At 43.3% G+C, this 22,436-nt stretch overlaps 1 protein-coding gene across 7 annotated transcripts in view, besides 2 other annotated features; it reads right to left on the bottom strand.

Annotated features, from left to right (window-relative positions):
- Positions 1–22,436, bottom strand: part of PAPPA2 (pappalysin 2) — a 382,427-nt gene that overhangs the window by 283,648 nt on the left and 76,343 nt on the right. For 6 of the 7 annotated variants that reach the window (XM_047427180.1, XM_017002024.2, XM_017002023.2 and 3 more), the window contains one exon: positions 4,713–6,547. In XM_047427180.1, the coding sequence (XP_047283136.1) occupies positions 4,713–5,631 (919 nt within the window). In that variant the 5' untranslated portion in view covers positions 5,632–6,547. Of the gene's footprint in view, positions 1–4,712; positions 6,548–8,216; positions 8,471–22,436 lie in introns of those variants that run through there. The other variant, XM_005245422.4, reaches the window with a different exon arrangement.
- Positions 1,855–1,904: a silencer, noted in NCBI's record as "silent region_1572". NCBI's record gives its function as "represses an Ori minimal core promoter by ATAC-STARR-seq in GM12878 lymphoblastoid cells {active_cell/tissue: GM12878}" and the evidence as "EXISTENCE:reporter gene assay evidence [ECO:0000049][PMID:35858748]".
- Positions 3,907–5,106: an enhancer, noted in NCBI's record as "MED14-independent group 3 enhancer chr1:176525984-176527183 (GRCh37/hg19 assembly coordinates)". NCBI's record gives its function as "activates an origin of replication core promoter dependent on BRD2, BRD4, P300/CBP and CDK7 cofactors, and independent of MED14, by STARR-seq in HCT116 cells {active_cell/tissue: HCT116}" and the evidence as "EXISTENCE:reporter gene assay evidence [ECO:0000049][PMID:35650434]".

Here is a 22,436-nt window from a genome sequence, read left to right as displayed (position 1 = left end):
GAGTTCCGCTGCGCACGCTGTCTTGCCTGCCACCATGTGAGACATGACTTTCCTCCTCATTCACCTTCAGCCATTGTTGTGAGGCCTCCCCAGCCATGTGGAACTGTGAGTCCATTAAAGCTCTTTCCTTTATAAATTACCCAGTCTCAGGTATGTCTTTATCAGCAGCTTGAGAACAGACTAATACAGCTCTGAACGTTGTGTGAACTATGTGAACATGTTCATTTTTCTAGGGAGTGGACATAGCTTTCATCAGATTTTCAAAAGGTTTTATGGCCTCCAGAAAACTTTAGCACTGTTGTCCAATTTATTCAAAATAGTACTGCTCAGGCTAAAAAGAATGGATTTTTTTAAATAAAATAAATGAGCCCTTTGGGGCCTCTGATTCTACTGCATTTACAACACATTAGACTGTGTTGTAAAAAAAGTCTGTTTACCATCATTCTCATTTTACAATCTAGCAAACTGAATTCCTAAGAAATTAAAGTGAATATTCCACCTAAGGAAAAATGATAGGTTAGTGGGTTAGAACCAAAGACAAGCAGGTTAACGTGCTGCTCCCAGTAATGATTGCCTCCCACTGTTAGCTCCTGCCAGGCCATGAGTAAACACAGTGGCCAAGCCCTATGGTGGGCACTTTACATACATGACTTGTTCAAGCATCATAACGACTCTGCAAGACTTTGTCTTATTTTTCATTTTTTGGAGCTTTTTTCATTTTTATTTAAATGGAATGATATTTTGTATACATATATTTTTCTCCTTTTTCCATTTGAGGAAATGAAGGCATAGAAAAGCTCAATGGATCGCTGAAGACCACAGCCCTGATAAGCGTCAGAGATGGAATCTGTTGCCAGGTTGGCCTGCCTCCCAAGTTCTACACAAGCATATACTCTAATGCTCGGATCCTCAGAGGAGGAAAACTTGTCTTCATGTCAGGGACAGTTTCTTAGACATCTTTGTGCTCCCCACAGGGCCTTGCCGTGCTTTGCATGGAAGGCACTCAATAAATATTTGTCGGATGAAGAAACCTGGGCTCAGGCTCCAATTCTGCCATGGACTTAGTGACTCAGTCTCCTGCAACTTGGAGCTGCAGGTGGTTACTCAGCTGGGCAACTTCAGGGAACATTTGAAATCAATTATGGGTGAGGAGGAACCTATTAAAATCTTCTCTTTTGTGTATGTTGGGGTTAAAAGAGAGGAAAGGAAGTTGAGAAGGCGGGAAAGGAACAGGATGGTTTCAAGGTTGGGTGCTGGAGCTTAAAAGTTACACACGTGGATGGGACAGAATTTGGCTTACGTCCAGTTCTCAGTTCCAATGGCCCAACCAAATGGGCTCCTGACCTCAGTCTACTCCTAGGTGGCCACATGGCCCTGAGCTGCCAGGCCCCTGACTAGCTACTCTTACAGAGGACTCTACAGTGGAGCAGTTGTACACAGTCCTCTCCTACACCTTGGTTGTTCTGTCTCCGCTATGGGAAATAGGCCACTTCAGAAGATCTACCTTGCAGGGACCCAGGTACCACGTCTCGCCTTCTGAGGGCCAGAGAGACGTTCAGCACCCAAAGCCTGTGAGCTCCGTGTTGTCCTCAACTCTAAATAAATGTATTCTGGCAATTCATTCTGGAATTCAACTTTCTATTTTGGAAGAATGTGGGAGTTTGGAGTGGGGGAGGGAGAGGGGAAACTTTAGTTGATTTTCTTTTCTTTACTAGTTGCTAAAGTGCAAGTTAGTCACAACCCCAAAAATGTCACTTTTGCCCTTTCACATAAGCCCCGCAAAAAACACTTGCATAAAGCTGACCCCAAGGGATGCCAACGAACAACATTCTGGGAGAGGACAATTAAATACACACAGCCCAGAGCCAGGGCAGGACAGTCCTCCAAGAAATCAGAGACATTCCCCACTACGTGGCTGCCTACTCTCCTGTGAATGAAGCAACACTGCCACCTAGTGTTCCGTGTAGAAAGTATCCTCTAAGACCCCCGCATCTGGGGCTGGGGAGGGGAATGTTCCTCTGTAAATTGCTATGGCTGCATTGCTTGAAGTCTCTGTTGAATAAAAAATGCCCTAAATTGGGTAGATTAAGGATTGGGAAACTGGGTTTAAGTTGAGTAGGTAGAAGCTACGCTTTGAGAGCTGTTGAAAAAAGTGTAGGGGCCAAGTCTTGCAGCACCTCGGATCATTCCAAGTGGAACAGCAGAATTGCTGAATTGTATGTGGCTCCCAGGGACATGATTCTATTGTCATTCTGCATAGGTGAAGGCCAGCCATCGTAGGAATAGACAATGACCAGCTCAGGGGCGAGTGCTGTATGGTAAGAGAAGGAAGATGGACTGGTCTGTCCACAGGCATGAGTAGATTAGGGTAAATGCCTTTGGCAACATTATGGTTCTCAGGCATGGAGAGCACAGGTGAAGTGTAAGCAGCTAAGCACAGTGAGTACACAAGGATGCCCAAGCCCTCAGCAGCCCTGTTGCTAGAATCCCAAAGAATGAAACCATGTTCCCAACCTCCATCTTTCCCAGACCTTTACCCTACATCTTTACTGAATATTTTCTGATGTACAGAAATCTAAAGAAAAATATAGAGTGGTAAGTGGAGATGAGATAGCCCTGGGCATTCCCTGCCCTCAACCTTTCTGGTGTAGACCTAAGAGGGGAAATACTGGTACACCACAAGGGACACTTTGATTTGAAGAGAAGGAAAATTCAGAAGCTAGACAGTCTGCAAAAGATTTTCTGCCCAATTTTACATGCTTACGGTTAAAAGAGTTCAGACGGGCACTTTAGAGAAGGATCTGAGTGTGTGCTGTGGCAGTGTTGGCAGGGGTTGGAGGCGGTGGACAGGTGGGCAAGGTAGAAAGACGTCCTGGGGTGGGGATGGGGGAGGTGCCACAAGAAATGCTGTAACTGGAATCAAATCATGACACTGCTTTCCTCTGTGCAGAGCATCAGACAGGACACAGGAGGGACAGGACAGGGGTCAAGTTTCCCCAGGTTTGGCCTCTAGTAACCCAAAGCAGCAGCCCCTTAGAGCCACCCACATAGACTCCTATTGGATCTTTCTCTCATTTTTTTTCAGCCAGGGAATTGATCCCCGGTCTTTATGTTGCTACTGCAAGAGGAGGGGTAAGCAGAGTCGTGGGTCTTAGTCTAGACTGCAAGCACACAGTTTCCCTGGCAGATGGGTACTAGGAAGCAAGATTAAGCAGCAAGAAGATGTCATCTGGGAGAAATTGTGGAGCTGCCAACTCTGATCAGATAATCATCTCATTATTTCTTCCATTTGGCCCCAGAATAAGGATTTCCTTCTACTCTTTCTCTTCCCCCACCTAACTTATAGCCCAACCCTTATTTCTCCCCTTTCCCCACTCCCTCTCCCACCCAAAAATAAAATACAGCAAAACCACAAGACTTGAGAATGCTCAGTGTCTGGGAATCCCAGCTTCCGAAGGAGAAATCACAGCCAAAGAGGGGGAGACAGAGTGTCCGGAAGGGATGTTCCAGCAACACCCCCTTGAAAGAGGCTCCCTCCTTGCCGACTTCTTTCCCTAGTCTGAAACTTTGCAGGCATCCAGTAACCTGAGAATATTTTCTTAATTCGGAAAATCTTCAAGCGATTCAAGTGTCCTGGAGTTCTATTCCCAGCCTGCCTGGCATGCCTTTTATTGCCTCAGTTTCCCCATCAATATAATGGGACTGGAAAACATGAAAGAGCACTGTGGATAATTCAAATTAAGCAGATTATATGGTTCTACTGTGCACCTTGCTTTGTGTTAGGTTCTGTCATGGGGAATTCAAAAGGATAAGGTACTAAATGATGAAATATCATGTCTAATCCATGACCCCTTGCTTCATTCCAACTTTCCCAGTAAGGCAACAGGGAACAGTTACTCTTAACCTCATTTTTCTTTGCCCTTCTGGGTGACTTTCCATGAAAAGCAAGATCTGTGTGTAGTGCAAACAAATGTGGGTCATGTTCCCAGACCAGTGCTCCTGATCAAAATCATGGAGTTATAAAAAGTTTCATTTTTTAGGTCCTTCTTACAACAACAGCAGGCCTAGAAGTCAGGATCTTGGCTTGTAAGTGCTCACTTTTTCCAGTGGACCCTACTGTTCCTAAGCTGGACACATGATTGTTGTGACAAAGTGGAGGGACCTCCAGGACCTGGACCAAAGGGCACCTTTCTGCCAAGATCCAGGGCACTCAGAGAAAAGGAAACCAGGCAGGACCTGACGGCTGTGTACCTAGCAGCCTTGTTTCCTCACCACCTGGACCAGCCCAGGCATGACTCATTGCTCAGGTCCTTGGATTCTCATCTGTCTTCAAGGTTGCCTGGGTATCTCATATTGGTCTACCGGAAATGGAGTGTGACACCCCTTCTCTTTTGGCAAAGAACCAAGGAGCTCTATCCCTTTAAAGACAGGTAAGAGAGCTAAAGTCTCCTAAGTGCAAGCACAATGTATACAAGGACATGAGATCAATACAAGGTACAGAGGCTGATATGGCTAGAGTCATTATCTCCTTTTTGATGGTGTCTGGAATCCTGCCGTGCTGATTAATAAAGGCCCTTCCCCCTCTCCCTGGCTAGCCCTTTCTGGCTTTCCTGTTGGGTCCCCTTCCCATCCTCGCTCCCTATGTCTAACCCGTCAGAAATAAAGCCAGCCATACCCTCAGGATTTCAGAAAGCCCAGGAGAAGGGTGTTACCTGCGATGATGGCTGGGTTGTTCTGTCCTCCCTCCGGTTTAACCCAGGCTTCCACTGTGAACGCCTCCCGGGGAATCTCAGCCAGCACTTCTGGACGCAGCAGCAGCCGCTCCCGCCTCCCAGAGAAGTATAAGATGGGCAGTCCTACTTGGGAGTTAAAGGTCTCTGCTTCTCGGTAGGAGCCCTCTCCACCATTTTGGTTGCTTTCCTCCGGTGGACTCTTTTTGACCCTGTGTTTAAGGGAATGCTTGGGCCAAGGTTGGAAATGTGAAGAGATACCGGAGTCTCCCTGCCCATCTTCCGCCCGCCTCTTCCACACTTGGCGACGCTGCCTGGACTTGGCCCAGCCCCTCCTTTGGGTCTCTGGTTTGGGTTCGTTCAGGGTTGTGAAAATGGCGGTGGTAGTAGTGGCAGCCATGGCTGAGCCTTTCTGAATCCCGGCCTCACCTAGAGACTCCTTGGATCTTTGATTGCCGAGATAAGCGTCATCATCTCCCAGCAGCTCAGATTGCCCAATAGGACTATCCCCTACCCATGGGGCAGCCGGCTCTTCAACTGCACCCCTCAGTCCTGCTGGATTTTCAGTCAGGTCTGGGGGAACAAGGCTCACAGCATTTCCTTCAGTGTCTGGTTTGCTGCGTCCTGTATGATGGATTTCTTGCTCCCCCACGGGGTAGGGCCTTAGGTAGTTCCCAGCCCTGCTGGGGTAGACTCCAAAGAGGTGATGCTGTGGAGAAGCTCTGGGTCTTCGAACCTTGGCCCCCAGCCAACAACGTTCTCCTTCCAACAGCACCTGATTCAGGTGTTCCCTCTCAACCAAGGATTTCTTGCGTGTCCAGCCCAGCTCAGAGTTGGCAGAACAGAGTGCCCACCCAGCCAAAATCGCCAGGCTTATTCTTAGGATCTTTAAGCACATCATACCTCCCCTAGCTCTTTCTACAGAACCAGAAGTCAACTTCTGGGTACCACACCAGAGTGATGGGCAGACGAGAAAGAGGCAGCTAGCAATGGATTTGCAGTCACCAGGGAAACTGTTTTGTTCACAGACCAAACTTTTTCAAATAGCCCCAAGAATGCCTCTGCTGGCTACCTGTGCTGGCCGCTCTGCCAGTGTGGCTTCTATGCCTCCCCAGGGCATGTGCTTCCCGCACGCTTCTCGCTTGACCTCTCTCCTCTTGCTGTACTTTAGTCCTTGCAGAACGAAGTTAATTTCTCTTGGTTCCTTTGAATTTCCTCCCAGAAAGCTCAGATTTCTTTCTTTTTTTTTCCCCCCTTCTTCTTCAGTAATCCCTCCCCTCACTGATACTAGAAGAGAAGACCCACAGGCATGAGCCAAGTCTCTCAAATACACACTCACAAACACACACTCCTCGCTACCTGAAGTCATTCAAAATAATCTTATTCTCTAATTTTCATTTCTTTCTCTTCTTCCTTCCCTAGGAATTACCTTCTCTTTTTGTAGTCCCTAAGCCAAAATAAGTTCACCTTAAAACAAATTGCTAGAACTTTTACACAGAGACACGCAATTTGATGCTTCTTATTTTAAAATGCAAAAATAATCTAGGGGCACAAAAATGCAAGCTGGTACTTAACTTTCATTCTCCAGATGTCTTCAGCCAGGTCCCCATCCAGCCTCCAGTCTGTCTGTGAAGGTTAGAATGTTTCCTTCAGTTTGATGCTTGGGGTTGTTGGTTGTTGAAGGCTTTTAATCCCTCATCCAACTTGTTGATAGGTTGCAAGTCTCCGTAAAGTTCTTTGGGGTGCCAGTTTGCTGTTCTAATAACCTTATGAGTCTGGGAGCTCTTAACTTCACCTTCTGGGAGTCTTGTGGGTTCCTGGGAAGATCGGGAAAAGAGCAAAAAGAAGAGCATACACTTCAGGGGACCTGTTCTCTCCAGTCTCTCCTGCTCCCCTTGGCTCCCTTTCTGTCTGCCTGTAAATATCTTCTTGTTTTTTGTTTTTGTTTTTGTTTTTGTTTTCATTTAAAGACAATGATGATGTCAAAGCTAGTAAGTTCAATGCATCACTCCACCTACTCCTCCCTGTCCCCTCCTTCCTCCTGAAAACCTACCCACCTCACCAAGGCACAGGGGACAGACGCTACTCTTGGTTTCCCCAGTAAACATCTCGGGCTTTCTCTTTCAGCAGCCGCAGCCTACACAATCAATAGCAAAAAATCAATAGTGTTTTGGAGTACTCTTCTCTGTGTGTATTCTCCCTCTCTCTCTCTCTCTCTCTCTCACACACACACACACACACACACACACACTTACTGTGAACAGATCTACCTACTGCCTAATAAGCCCACACTAACCTTTTAGGGATCCCTTGTATTTTTCTTTTGTTTTGTCACAAACAAAACAAAGTATTTTTTCTTACTTTGTTCAATCATTGGGGATTTAAAAGAACAATATCTTAAATTCACTTTAAATCGGACATGGGAGAAAGGAGAAATCAAGTATCCTGCTGTGAGAAGTACTAAATGGAAATGCCATGAATTCATACTACATAGGTCTCCTTTTTATCTCAGAAGTTTCTCAATCTGAAGTTACTAAAAGTCACCATATGCTGAGTGAGCAAATAAACAATGAGATGTTCAAAATAAGTAATTTACAAAAATGAACAGCTAGACCCAAGGAACCATGTTTCCAATTGATTTGAAATGGATGGAAAGGATGGGGAAGAAAATGTCATAATTTTAACCTATGCAGTGTTTGCCTAGATGCCTAGATAAAGGCTTTCTCAAAGGGCCCCCACACCCTAAGTGCATGTGCGTGTACACAAATACACACATGTATACATGGACAAACACACGGCATGGTTCTGAATTCTTAACACAAGTAAGGATATCTGACCACAGGTGGTACAAAACAGTAGAGAAACACATTGGGTCCTTCATTCACATAATAAGAAAAATCACTTACACTTTTAAAGTCACTGCTTGTGTTGCCCACATCTAAAACATGCAGTCCACATACTCTGGAGTAAGATCGCACTGCCTCTTCTGCCTTGAGTCTCATCATCATCTTCTAAACTCCTCTACCCCAGCTAAGAACTGACTTGTTTGCATTATAAATGCTGTATCTTAAACACCTCATCCCCAGCATGTCCTGTTTCCTTATGTAGCATCCACTGGAGCCTCGATGCAAGTCCCCCAAGAAGATATCAACTCAGGCACATGGATGTTACTAAGCAGATACCCCTCAATCCTAGACTGCCCTTTTTCCTTCCCTTTACTTTTGACTCAGTTTTCTCTCTCTCTCTCCCTCTCTTTCTGAAGCAGCTCAAGAATAAAGATTAGGGCTCTAGGGAGGGGGATATAGAGAAAACCAGGAAAGCAGAGGGGAGAGAGAGAGAGAAAGAGAGAGAGAGAAAGCAGAAAAGAAAGGAGGGAAGGAAGAGAGGAGGTTTAGTTCAAGTAAAGGGAAGATACTCAGGTAAGAAAAGAAGTAAACTTCCCCCTCCCGCATGCCACCCCATAACCCTCAGAAAAAGGTTTCCTACCATTCATTTCAGGAAGGAGGGATAACACAGCCAGGAAGAAGAATTCCGCCTGCTTTTCTCCCCCTTTTAATGTGTAGGGATCTTGCATCCCCTATAGGTCTCTCCTGGCTCTCAGCTTCTAGTAATCCATTCATAAGGTTTCAAGAAGCTACACAAAACTCAAGCTTCCAGTTTAGTTTCTCTCTCTCTCCCTTCATTCCTTTGCTCACCACTCTCCTTCAGCTCTTGGCAGTCCCAAGTTAAAAAAAAATGTTGAACCATTTCTGTGTTTTCCTCCTGTTGTAACTTTTGCTGTGACATCATAACCCTGCCCACCAACACCCCACCTCCCTCTCCTTTCCATCCCACCCCTCAACAGCCCCATACCCGCAACACACCACCCCACGGAGAAGAAGGACTCCTGTCAGTTCCAATGTGTGAAAAACACAAAGCTACTAGAAGGTGCCCCCTCCCTCCCTCAGCCCCCCTCCTCTCTTCCCCCTCCCTGCCTTACCCACCGCTCAGCCTCGGCTCTCTCAAGGCTTTTAACAATGATCCCATCTGTTTGACATGTGCGGAAAGGTGGGCTGGATTCAAATAATCTGTCAAGTGAATCAGATCAAAAACACAGCAACCCCCTCCTCAATTCCATCACACATACACACCCCCGAGCAAAAGTGTGAGGGAAGTCAGGCTTGCACAGCACCCACCCTCGATGCCAGGGAGAAAGACACTAGACATGCCAAGGGAAACCCAAATTTATATAGACATAAATTCTGTTGCTATTTGTTTATGACAAACACCCACACCCCAAGTCCCCTACCCCTCTTCCCCAAACTCTGCCACTCCGCAAGTGCACAGACTTGAAAGCTGGTCGAATCTGTTTTGAAATCTCCAAGGAGAGGGTTTTTCCCCCTTTTTTTCACTCCAAAGCACTATCTGTGGCGATCAGACTGAGCAGGGTTGCCAGCAAATGCAGGAGGCCCCTTCTAGGGTACAGGCTTTCAAACCAGCGAAGCTAGAGGGAATGGATTTAAGGACACACAGCAGGAGCTGGCTGGATTCATTTTATTTTGACGGGGGTAGTTGGGGGAGGAATATCATTTCTGAAATGCCCAAGGAATGAAGGGAGAGGATATGGATTTCTTAAACAGTTTTTTGCAAGAGGAGCGGTGTCTTGTTCTGCAGGTAAATCTATAAGGCAAGAAATTGGAGCTTACAGATAAACAAGGACCAGGACGGAGAGGGAAAGGGAGGGAAAGGGAAAAGAGGAAAGCGAGGAGAGAGAGGAGAGGGGATGAGGAGATGGGAAAGGGGAGAGAGAAAAGAAGGGGAGAAGGACAGGCAGGGGTAAGGGGGGAAGAAAAGAGAAGAAAGAAGGAGGCGTGGGGAAAGAGGGAAAGGGGAAGGGAGCAAGGCGAGGGGGAGGGGAGAGATGGAGGAGGAGAGGGTAAAATGGAAGGGGGAGGGTAGGAGGACTAGGAAAAAGAGAAGATTCTGGGAGGAGAAAGAACTGGAAAAGAGAAGTAGAGAAGAGAAGAGGGAAGAATGAAACAGGAAGAAAAACTAGAAAGAGATGGTGAGGCACAAAAATATGGAGACCAGGAAGGCAGTTAGATCCATGATGATTAAACATAAAGAAATCTCAGAGGCAGGTGAAGGGAGGAGACACTATAACATGGGGTCGAGGTTAGGTTTTACGTACAGAAAACAAAGGACACACAGTAGGGGGACTGTCTCTTAGTGACTGGACACGTTTTACAAAATCCGATTGCAAGGCTTCAACATTGTCTCTTTAAGGGAACTCCTCTTCCCTCCGCTTTCCCTCCCTGCATCTCTGCCTCCAACTTCCACCTCCACCTTCTTTCTTTCACCTTTCATTTCCAGCATATCTTCCCCTGGAGAATTCATGAGTAAAATTCAGACACCCACCCCCCTAAAGAAACCCATTCTTCACAGCCCCTTCCTTTATTTCTATCCACAGAGGTTCCTGGGTCCTCTTATCTAAAGATTGGGCTGTTTGTGATCATCTGCACTTCATTTCAACCCAAATTATATGATGTTTCCTTTAAGCCCAGGACGTCAGGAGTGTTTTGCTTATATTTACTCCCATAGTGGGGCTGGTCAGTTTTCATTAGCTTTGTCATCATTATTATTAAGAGTCTTTGCACAAAGAGAGGAGCCAGTCCACGCTGGCATCCACCTGCAGTATACAGCATTAGCAGAGAGAGAACGAGAGAGAGAGCGAGAGCAAGACAGAGAGAAAGAGAGATGCCCCTTAATGTGGTCACTGATCCTCTTTGACTTTCTGGTTCCAAAATCTGATCCCTTGAAGGAAAAGCTCAGCTGGGAGCCAGCCAGGGAGCGTAGTAATAAAAGCCTCCTAGAACACAACCAAATGCGGAATCTATATATAGAAGCCAGATCTGTTTTAGCTACTTGCAGTCTAAAATGACACCCGGAAACAAACATTTCAGCAATATGTTTATTGGAATCTTATTCAGCTAGTGCTGGAAACAGGGAGCTTCTCTGAAAGATTTCACTCCAAGGCTCAGGGTTGCTGCTTTCTGCTCCCCTGGCTCTGGTGCTCAGAGATGGGAGTCGGGCTCTATCTTTCGGGGGTAACTTGTGATTCCTTCAGGGTAATCTACTACGGCCCCCTTTTTTCGCAGGTAAGGGAACAAGCACTAAGTCACACAATTAATCGCAGGGCCAGACATAGCATCAGGTCTCCTAAATCTCTGCCCAGCTTTTTTGCCTTCTCTGGCTACGCACTGTCTTCACCTGTCTGGCTGGTTTGCCAGCCATTTGTCAATTGGATGGGAAGGCAGTATCGAACACTGGCCTCCCAGGTTCCACATCCCGGCAAAAATGCCCAGGGCATATATGTTGGTCATATGTGTTCTATAACTCAGAATCACATAACACTCAGAAGGAAATGCAAATCTGGATTTCACCCTCTTCCCTGTGCGTTTTGAGCCAAGACAAGCCCTATCTTCTTGTGGAACTGTTTGGTGCTCCGTATGTCAGATATTCATTTTTTTTCCAGAATACAATTACCATTATAAATTATTAGCAGTGTTAATGGTCATGTTTTAAAAGCTACATTCCATCCAAATAGATCAAAGTATGTCATGGACAGGTTAAGTTTCCCAACACCTCGGGGGAGCAGTATGGTGAAAGCAATATGCCAGAGATCTACATTCCCTGGTGACAGTCCCTATTGGGTAAGTGTTTTCTGTAAGATTTTGAGGCTTGGAACTAGCTCGTGGAGCCCTTTGGCTGGGGGAGAGCTTAACAGTGATGCTGGGTTCTTCCCCGCTCATCCGACAAACAAAGGCTCTGCAGGGTTTATACTTCAATTAGGATTGCCTTTGTACCTGGAATCTCTTCAAAAGGCAACTTCATAACAAAAATAATGAGTACATTTGTACACTTGCATTTCCTCTTACTTAATCCACATTTGTATGCATTCTTTCTTTCTAACCACAACAACGTGAATGCAAAGCAAGTGTTAATGCCCATCTTACAGATGAGGACACTGAGGCTGAAACAGGTTAAACTACTTACCCACAGACCTGCAGACAGTAAGAACACAGCCAGAAACAATTTCAAATGCATTATGCTAAGTGAAAGAAGCCAGACTTAAAGGGCTGCAAACTGTGCGATTCCATTTCTATGACATTCTGAAAAAGGCAAAGCCTTGAGAACAGAGAATGGATCAGTGGTTACTAAGGGCTGAAGGTTGGGGAAATAGTTGAATAGAAAAAGCACAAAGAGATTTGGGGCTTACACAGCTATTCTCTATCTTGGTTGTGGTGATGATGCATGACTGTATGCATTTGTCAAAACTCAAAGAACTGTGTACTAAAAAAGGTTGCTATATGTAGATTATGCCTCAGTAAATGTTGTGGGGGTGGGCAGATAGAGCCAGGGGTAAGTCTAGGGTCTTTTAATTTTGCATACAGTATTCTTCTATCTACATCCTTCAGGTGCCCAAAGACCAAAAGATTGTGTGACATTGCTTGGTGGTGGTTAGGTGCTGCTCTGTGCCTGAACTCTCCACTGGCCATCTCGCCTAGACTCTGAGGGGACCCCTTAGAGCCGGGCTGGATGGAGCACTAAGCTGGCTTAAAGTTCCAGCTCCATCAACCCAGATGGCCTCAATAAATCAAATACTCTATTACCAAATAAACAATTATGCCCCTGTTCTGCCATTCAACAGCTGCCTGACGTTGGGCAAGTTAATGAACTTCTCTGAGCTATCTGTAAAATGAGAAGATTGGAATAGAAGACCTCTAAGTTCCCTTCCAGGTCACACTTGAGATTCTCTTATTTTTCAGCCCAACACTTTTCTAAGATTCTATCTTCTCATTTATAAAAGACAGCCAGTGCTCATTTCCTATAAATATACCAGAGACTCAAGTTTACATTAGCAGTGGGCACCTATGACATTTATTTTGGTCCTGAAAGAAAGCCATATATTCGAATGTGACTTTATTAAAAACACTGATATGCAGAAACAGGGGTACTGTGTGAAGAGTTTTAGAGCTTTGCTATTATATGGAAAAAGATGTCCTATGCATCTGTAGCATTATCACATATTTTGCAACTCAAATATAGAACACATGGCATTAGTATGAAAACACTTACATGAGAGCAGCTTTTTAAATTTGGTATTGCATTAGAATTTTAAAATGTGGTGATTTCCCTGAGATGGTAGTAGTATTAGCAATAATAAAAATTTTTACTTACACACTGTTCTGGCCACTTCATATATACTAATTGATTCAATCCTCACAACAGTCCTGTGAGGTGGGTGCCTCTATCATCCCCATTTTCAAATGATTTGACTCCCAGCATGAAAAAACCAGACTTTTCATGTCTTGAGTGAGGGCCCAATGCCTCCAAGAAATGTAGCCCATTTTCATCCCCATTTACAACTAGTAACAGTAGTAGCTAGCATTTATTGAGCGCATACCACATGCCCAGTGTAGCATCAATGTAAATCTATTATCTCATTTAATTCAACAATAAACCTGTGATATAGCTCCTCTATGATCCCCATTTTTAGATGGAAACACCAAAGCACAGAGTCAAGCGACTAAGTTCATTCGCCTGGAAAAGAACTGCGCGTTTCCAGAGCTCTCACTCATGGTCACCATACTGCACTGCCTTTTCATGAAGGGTGTAAATACACGCCATGATTTGACTCCCAGCATGACAAAACCAGACTTTTCCTGGTAAGTACGACTCAGTGATTCCTCTGGAGTAATGGAAAGATCTTTCTTGGGACTTTTCCTAAAGTCTCTATTGAGTGAGGGTCCAATGTCTCCAAGAAATGTAGCCCAGCCAACAGTAGCAGTTAGGGAAAGTCCCACTTCCGCCACTGCTAGAGTATCTTCCAGAGATTCCCCAAGAGCTCTTGTTCCCACTACCCTTGCTCCCCCAGATCCAACATGCCCCCATTAAAATCTAAGAGACAAATAGCCAACCAAATATAAATGGAAAACCAGTCATTTCCCCAACTCATTAACTCCATTTAGGAGGAATCATACAAGATAAATACATGTTATGTTTTCTATTTAACTGATACTGACTTTTTATACTAATAACAGCTATGAGCTGATAGTCTTAACAATTATCTATTAAAATATTTCATTTTCATCTAATTAAAAAATTAATAAGATATGACCATCTCTAATGTATCCTGCACTTTCCTCCACATGTCTGTATTAGTCAGCTTTCACTAGGTTATGTTGTGCTAACAACCAACCCCAGAATCACAAAGACAAGAGAAAAGGTTGATTTTTCGTACATGTTACATGTAGCTGTGGGTCGGCACCCCACATTTTTTAAAAAATCCTGGAATGGAGGATAAAGGAATAGCTTCTATGGGACATACCATTGTTGTGGTAGAGTAGTGGTTCTTAACCAGAAATGATATCACCTCCCAGGGGATATTTTATCAATGTCTCCAGGCATTTTTGGTAGTCACAACTGAGAGATGGATACTGCTGTCATCTAGTGGGTACAGGCTAGGGATGCTGCTTAACATCTTCCAATGCGTAAGACAGACCCCATCTCCACCAGCAACAAATAATTATCTGGTCCAAAATGTTAATAGTGAGGTTGAGAGACCCTGTGTAGAGGGAAAATGAGCAATGACAAACCATGCAGTTGCTCTTAAAGTTTTTGCATGGGTTTGGCACAGGTCATTGCTACCTGTTTTCTATTGGCCAAAGTAAGTCATGACAACCAAGGCAGATGTCATTGAGGCAGGGCAGGAAACTCCTCACACAAGGATAGTCTACAAAAAGTCACATAGCAATAGACATGATTATATAATCTTCCTACAGGGATAGGAGCAAATTATTGGGAACAGTAGTGTAATTAACCACAACTTACTTAACTGAATTGAGGCAATGAATGAAATGATGCCCTAGGGTTTCAATCTATCTCAGAATGGTTGGTAGGTGGGTGGCAGTGGGGTAAAATGTATTGAAGGCTTAGGAGACAGACCCATGAAAAGCTGAGTCTTTTCAGATGAGCTATATGAACAGGCTGACATAAAGTTTCTATATCTGCAAAAGAGAGGTGCTAACATCTATCACACAGATTATCCAAAGGATTCATGAAATATTACATGGCAACTTCATTGTATAGTGGGTGGCATAGAGACACGCATGAGGATTGTGGTTATTAATTAACTTTTACCAGAAAACTTCCACATGCAAGCCAAAGGTTCAGAATACTTTGGCCCACTGTTTTGATTCATTTTGATCTCATCATTTTGACCCATTAAATCATTTCAATGACACCATTTTTGGTCCTTGGAAACAATTTTACCTCACATTACAAAAATAAATACTAAAATTTGAAATTTATTGATTTAGCAATAAAAAGCAATCACAAAATCAGCATTTTTCCAAAAGTAATTATATTTCAAGAGGGAAATTTATTAAGTCATGTTACTTCTTTGATCAATTCCTATCGATGTGGTTAAGTATTTTCATTATTTTCTATTTGTATGTTTATTTCACTAAAATCAATTTTCATCCAAACCAATTCTTAGCTTTTGTTCACATGAGACATCAATTACAGCTTCAACTGTCGTGCATTCTCTTTTGCAATAATTATTGCTACTGAGTCCAATTTTCCCAGGACAAATGTTTCATGTGTAAATTCACATATAAATGTGCAATTTTATTTTATTCCTTATCAGACTGATTATATTGACTATTCCTATTGTTAATATTCATTAGGAGTTGGGTAAAGTTTTTGACTATTTTTTTTGACTAATAGAAAAATGTGAGCATTTTTTCTCAAATATTCTAGAACTACTCTCTTATCCAGGACTGATTGCCCTATCATATTCCCCACCCAAATTGTTTTCAATTACTCAACTATCCACTCCAGAGGAGAAGAGAAAATAAAGTAACACCACCAAAATGTCCCAGGTAAAGAGAGTGCAGTGAGGTGAGATGGATATCTAAATTATGGCATCAAAATGGGTAGCAAAAATCACTCTGCTTCAGCAAGGGGCATTACAGGTTTTAGAGCAGTGTTTCTCCAGCTGTCCAGGAAGCAGCCCTAGACAAAGGAGAGCAAATCTCATGTTTTATCATTTAAAGTAAACAAATAAATAAAGTGTGCATGTTACTCTACAGTACAACCTGTCCATACTTATTTTGACATTAATTAACCTTGAGTTAAATTGATATTCCAGGAACAAATGCCATATTAATGCTCTGTTTCTGCCTTCCTCTTGCACACTGCCACCTTCCTCAGTTTGGTAAGTGTGCCTCAAAAGAATCCAAAGAAATTACATTTCCATGAGGGAGACCCATGTGTGCATTAAGAACTGGGCATTGGGCTGAGCACCAACTGAGACTCAATAATTTGACACCAGAAGGCAAGCAGGAAGAAAATAATTATGACTGAAAAAGAGTAAGAGAAACTCTAGTTCACTGCCCACCTTTTCATCCTAGCTAAAAGAAGGCTATGACATTGTGGTTTATAATAAGAAGTATGCATGGTCATCCCTCAGTTTCCATAAGGAATGGGTTCCAGGAACCCACTGAGGACACCAAAATTTGAGGATGCTCAAGTCCCTTATATAAAATGATGTAGTATTGGCATATAACCTACACACATCCTCCCAGATGCTTTAAATCATCTCCAGATTACTTACAATACCTAAATCAATGTAGGTTCTCTGTTAAGTAGTTGTTATACTATATTGATTATGGTATAATGGCAAGAAAAAAATCATGCACAGTTTCAGTTCAGGTGTATTATTTATTTATTTATTTATTTATTTATTTATTTATTTATTTATTTTTTCTGAGGTTGGTTGAATCCATGGATGAGGAACACAGTTATACAGAGAGAAGGCGACTATATTTGGTCTTTGTCCCAGGTACTGGCACACAGCTCCTAAAACCCTCAAGATTTCCTAAGTGATAGGGGAGACAAAGGTGAAAGGAGCATTTTTTGTTATTCGTAGCAAGCTCCTTCAATCACACCTGAGCTTATGTTAAGGAGGTGACTTTTGGAAAGCCCTAAGACTGGGGACTGATTATAAGGGAAACCAGCCATATGGTTAGAGGGCTGGAATTTTCAGCCTCACCTCTTTGACTTCCAAGGAGGGGAGAAGGGATGGAGATTAAGTTTAATCACCAACGGCTAATGATTTAATCAATCACGGCTAGATAAAAACCCAAAAGGAAGAGGTTCAATTAGCTTTCAGGCTGTTGAACACATGGAGATACTGGGCAGTTGGCTGGCTGGAGAGGACATGGGAGCTCCGTGCCCCTTCCCCATACCTTGCCATATGCATTTCTTTCATCTGGTTGTTTCTGAGTTGTATACTTTTTCAGTAAGCCAGGAATCTAGTAATAATCTGCTTTCCTGAATTATGTGATCTTTTCTAAGCAAATGATTGAACCTAAAGAGGGAGGTTTATGGGAACCTCAGATTTGTAGCCAGGTTGAAGAGAAGTTGTGGGTAACCTCTCATTTGCAATTGGTGTCTGAAAGTTGGGGGAGAGCAATCTTGTGGGACTGAGCCCTTAACTTGTGGGATCTGCACTAAGCCCAGGTAGATAGTGCGGGAATTGAATTGAATTGTAGGACATCCAGTTGTCATCCACAGAGAATTGAAGAATTGCTTGGTGTGAAAGAAAACGCCACTCAATTGGTGGCCAGAGGTATTGCATATGAATATAAAGAAAAACAGTCGGGATTTCCTACTCGAAAGTATTTGAGGAATGACACAGAGTACCACTCAGCATTTAGAACCTGAGCTAACACCTGGAATTCTAGATCAGAGCTGACTCTAAGATAGGCCATCAGTGTTTCCAAATCAAGTGTTAATATAACAACTGGCATTTATGGAACAACTCCTACATTTCTGTACTAAGCACTAGCCATGCATCCTGTCATCAGAGCCAGATATTATTAATATTGTCATTTTTATGTATGCAAGCGTTGACACTTGAACTACTTAAGACACTTGTCCAAGACTATTACAGACTGCAAACAACCGGAGTGAGGTAAATCAGCAGGTCTCAGTTACACAGTGTTTCTACAAGCCTGACATCAAGATTGAGGTCTTCCCTAGGCTCTGGATATCCCCATGAAAGTCCAGCATCTAGAGGTGAGGAAACTGGGGACACACTAGGGAAATGCCCTCTGATCTAACACTAAATCCCAAACCTAAGAAACTTAAATGATAGAGTCTATTTCTTGCTCACTGAGACCCAGTACAAGAGTTGCTGCTGATGAGTGGTGATTCAGTGACTCAGACCCCTGCCATCTGGCTTCCACCCTCCCTTACAGCCTTGAAGTCCACTGCCTTCAGCTAGTAAGTAGGGAAAGAGAGATGGCCCACTTCTTAACCACTCCATCTTGGAAGTGACACAGATCACACGTCATTGGAAAGAAATAGTTACTGTCTTCACCTCAAACCTAATGGGCTGAAAATACAACCCCTTGCTGGCAACAGCGTCCTTACAACTCTACACCATGGGAGAGGCATAGAATCCCTGACAGACAATTTGTGCCACAAGAACACTCTCAGTCCTTCCACCATCCCCAGGTGTGGCATTGGAGATGAAGGAGAGGAAGGTGGGGGTGTTCTGACCTAGTCAGTGAGGTTCTGAAAGTCTTGGGGTAGTTCCTCAAAGAAGTCAAAATTGAATAAGAAGCTGAGCTAAACCTCCACAGGAAGACATCAACCACAAAGTTAGAAGGGGAGTCTGAGGCTCCAGAAAGTGACCAAACAGAAGAGGCCAGGTGCAGAGATGAAGCTGGAATGTGGGGCTCAATATTGAGAAGGCAGAGAAAGGAGAACAAGGGGATTGAGGGTAAACTCCAGGTGGGGGCTCTGGAAGGATTTCCTTAAACAGAGTCTAGTGCTTGTGTACAAAGCAATGGAGGTGAGAGTGGGCTGGTTCCAGGGCTGGGGACAGCATGGACAGGACAGCAGCACTTTCCATTGACACACATATGGAAGAATAGGTGGCCACACATGGACTCCCCAAAGCCTAGCTGCCTCTTCATCATAACTGCACTTCTGTATAGTGCCACCCCCAAGACGACGGGGAACGTGAAGAAGCCAACACTGATGTTTAGAATTCATTTTCACTCTATCTGAAATAGAGTAACAGAGATGTTGTAGGTGGTTGTGGAATTCCTCCCACACTTTGAAACTGCAAGGAAAGGAGCCACAGTCCAGGAAGTTGTGGCAATGCAAAGTTAAAACTGTCTTTTTGAAGGAATTAAAAGAACTCATACTGGAGAACTTTTGTAGAGCCTACAAGATTTTAAATATATTGGAAAGGAGTTCCTGTTGCTGGTCTGTTATTAAACAATTTGTTTTACTGATGAAACGTGGTTCATGTGTAAATATCATTTCAAAACAGATATGCCCCTAGATGTCTTTAGGAAAAGGAGCAGACCTACTGAACAGGACATTTTACCCTTCCTAAATCCCATTCCAGCCCAACCTTTCCACAGATCTCAGCCATAGCAGGAGCAGGAAATCAAACCAAGGCAGTCTGAGCCCGTAAGCTTGTCAGATGTCCTCCTACCCATTCAACAGAGATCCTGTCCAGTAGGGGCCAGGGGGAAGTTCAAGCTTGTCTTCCACAGACTAAACTGGCCAATGGGGTATCGTTGAGGGGGCAGGCTTGGTAGACTGGCAAACATTGTTCTAGTCTGGGCTCTGCCCCTATTGCCTGTGTGGCATCAGACAGCACAGGCTGTCTGACAGCCTGTAACAAAGAACATTTCTCAGCAATGGATCCAGCACAGAGGAAGCATTTGATAAACATTAGCATTACTAAAGAAGTCAGCTGCTTCAAATCTTCAATCCTACATTTTTTTTTTATTTTAAACTTTCTGTCACTCCCAAGGGTCCATTTTGATATCATTTCTCACCATACTCAAATAATTAATCCTTTCCTATGTCCCAGTTGCTCCTATGTTTGTCTAAAACTGTCACTCAATCTTGTCAGTCTCAGAAATCCCATTTTTATGGCAAATATTTGGTTTTGAAAATCCAAACATAGTATGACCTACCTTATATAAATTCAAAAAAAGTGAATGCTCTATCTATAAGAGGAAATAATTTACAATGAAATAATAAAAATGTTCATGTGTAAATACTTCTGACACAACTAGATTAAAAGACAAAGTAATCAAATGCTTGAACCTACTTCCTGTGAACATGTTCAGACTTCAGGAAAATAAGAAACTATTCAACAAACGTGATAGGTATTTTTCTTTATGTTGACATTTTGAATTAAGTGCTAACAAAGTGTATCACTATGTATTTGTAGAGTCAGCATGACTACAACAGCTCCAAACGAGGCTGATTCTGGTGTGTGGTCTGAGTGACTCAGATACTGTGGGCAGCATTGCATCAATGGTGTGACTTCCCAAAATGGAGAACAACTCTTGGTGAAATTAGTGAACAAATCAAAAGGCAAGCTTCCTTCAATAACATGGTAGCTGCCTTCTTGGGAATGTATATTTAAAGAGTACAAAAAATACTTCTCGTTAAAGTGTTTATATCAAAAATGGAATGAGCTTCTCGATGTGGATCATTATAAATGCATTTTTCATCTACGTGGATGTTTGGCATGGCATTCAAGAGTCAAGCAGGATGCAGGAAAATTTATTCAGTGGCACTATCTATGCACTAGAGGAATATCTATGATCCCTGGTGCCTGCCCAAGGATGCTAGGGGTGATTTCCAATTATTTTGATCTTAGCAAGGATGCCAGTGGTAATTTCCAATGATTGTGACATCAAAACTACCCTTACTACTTTCCAAAATGTCCCTATGGGACAGTACTTCCCCCATTGAGAACCACACATCTAAACTAAGGCCAAAATACTGTGCAGATTATTCTGGTATTCTGGCTGAATCCTGATGACAAATGTATTCGCTGTTAATGCACTGTCAAGATCCACAAGTGGAGAAATCATGTGGAAGCCTCTAACTGCATCTCTGTATGGTTTGTGGAGATAAAGCTGAAGCACATGCTCCTCAATAGTGGTTAGAACTGTGTGTCCCCTATATATACACAGATGTATAGAGCACATTCTATCAAGTGATCACTTTTCTAAATATCATCCAGGAAGCTTATCCTTGCTCAAGCAGCCATTTACTCAGTTCCATTGAGCTCCCATTACTGAAAAAATAAGTAGAGAACAGTGTCCAAGATTATAGATCTTGAAACTCCAATCATTGACTCTGGTTCTTAGCCCCAAATGCCACATAATGTGCCTCAAATTATCACTGAAAAATGTTGGTTACAGAGGCCAGGATCAACATAGGATTTGAGAACTTCTTGAGGTAAGCCAGTAAGAACTCAGAAGCCATGGTGGGGAGGCTCTAGTTGTCTCTGGTGGGAGATGATTTCCATAAAATGCTACACATGCACTCTGCTGGGGGGTGTTGGAGCTCTCACTTTACTTGGCTGAATTGAGAAGGTTAGGTTATCTGGTCACATGACTCAGAGTTTAGTGTATGGTACTGAGACATCTCAACTCAACATTTTGGCCTCATCTTGCCCTTTGAACTAGATCTTGAGTGAAAAGAAAGTTAAGTCATTGTGGCTTTACCTAATCTTCCAGGAAGCATAAGTTGAGCCCTTCTAGATACCAGCCACCACTGTAGATTCTGGGGCTACACCAGTAATGACATACTAGCACCGCTCTGGATTGCCTCACAGATACATTAGGGAGAAAGACACAGAGTGTATAAATTGTAAGACATTGCTATCAGTGCTATCTCAGAATTTCAAATGAAGCACTGCTAGGCACTAAGAATAAAGCAATCAACTCTTCACGCAGTAATCAAGGGCATTTCAAAGACAGAGTGATTTTTGAGCAGGGTCTTAAACAAAGACAAGGAGTTTTCAAGTGAAGGGCATTTCTAGAAAGGGAACAGCTTATGTAGGTAGCCCCAGTAGCTCTTTATTCAAGCCTCCAAAATACCATTTATTGCAATGTCTTGCAGTTTACCTACAGTTACGTCTTTCTACCCAATGACCCTGCACAGCAATTGAGGATGGTACTTGTGTCTTATTATTTGTGTATTCCCAGAGATCTGAAAAAACAAGTATGAAACCATGAGAAATTTTGACCATTGAGGAAAAGAAATTCCTAGAGAGAAGCAAATGGTCCCTCCCTTTCTTCTTCTTGCTAATAAAGAAGGTGGAGTCCTTCCCAGCAGACTAAGATCAGAAAGGGGATACAAAGGTTGGAACAGTACCCACAGCTTTCCAAGAGACAATGAAAACAAATACTATTTGAATAGCAAATGGCTAACTGATCCTCACTTCTCCTTTCAGCATCAGGCTCAGCCAAGGCTAGACCTGAAAGCAATGCATGGCCACAGCAAAATGTTCTGTGACTTTCCATCCAGCATGAGTTCTCCTGAGAATGGAACAGGACCAAAGTGGATTCCCCGTGGGAAAAGGGCAGAAGATCAGGTGTCCAAAGGGATCTTTGCTGGCCCAGGAGGAAGAGTGTTTTATTGGGGTAGCAGCACCCACTTCCTAGTGCACAAATCTCCTACTCATATGCCCAAAGCATACTATAGCTTGTTAGGAAAAAAAAAATCACATGACACTCAGCTGGAGTCATAACCAGCACCTTGAACATTCCTTTCTCTTTCTAGAGGTCTTCCCTCCACCCCAGACTGTGAGCCACTTAATGGGGTAGA

The sequence above is a fragment of the Homo sapiens genome, chromosome 1 (genome assembly GCF_000001405.40).
Source record: "Homo sapiens chromosome 1, GRCh38.p14 Primary Assembly".
In the NCBI taxonomy this organism is placed as follows: Eukaryota; Metazoa; Chordata; class Mammalia; order Primates; family Hominidae; genus Homo; species Homo sapiens.
Note: the sequence above shows the minus strand (reverse complement) of the source record. Positions and strands in the feature narration are given on the sequence as shown.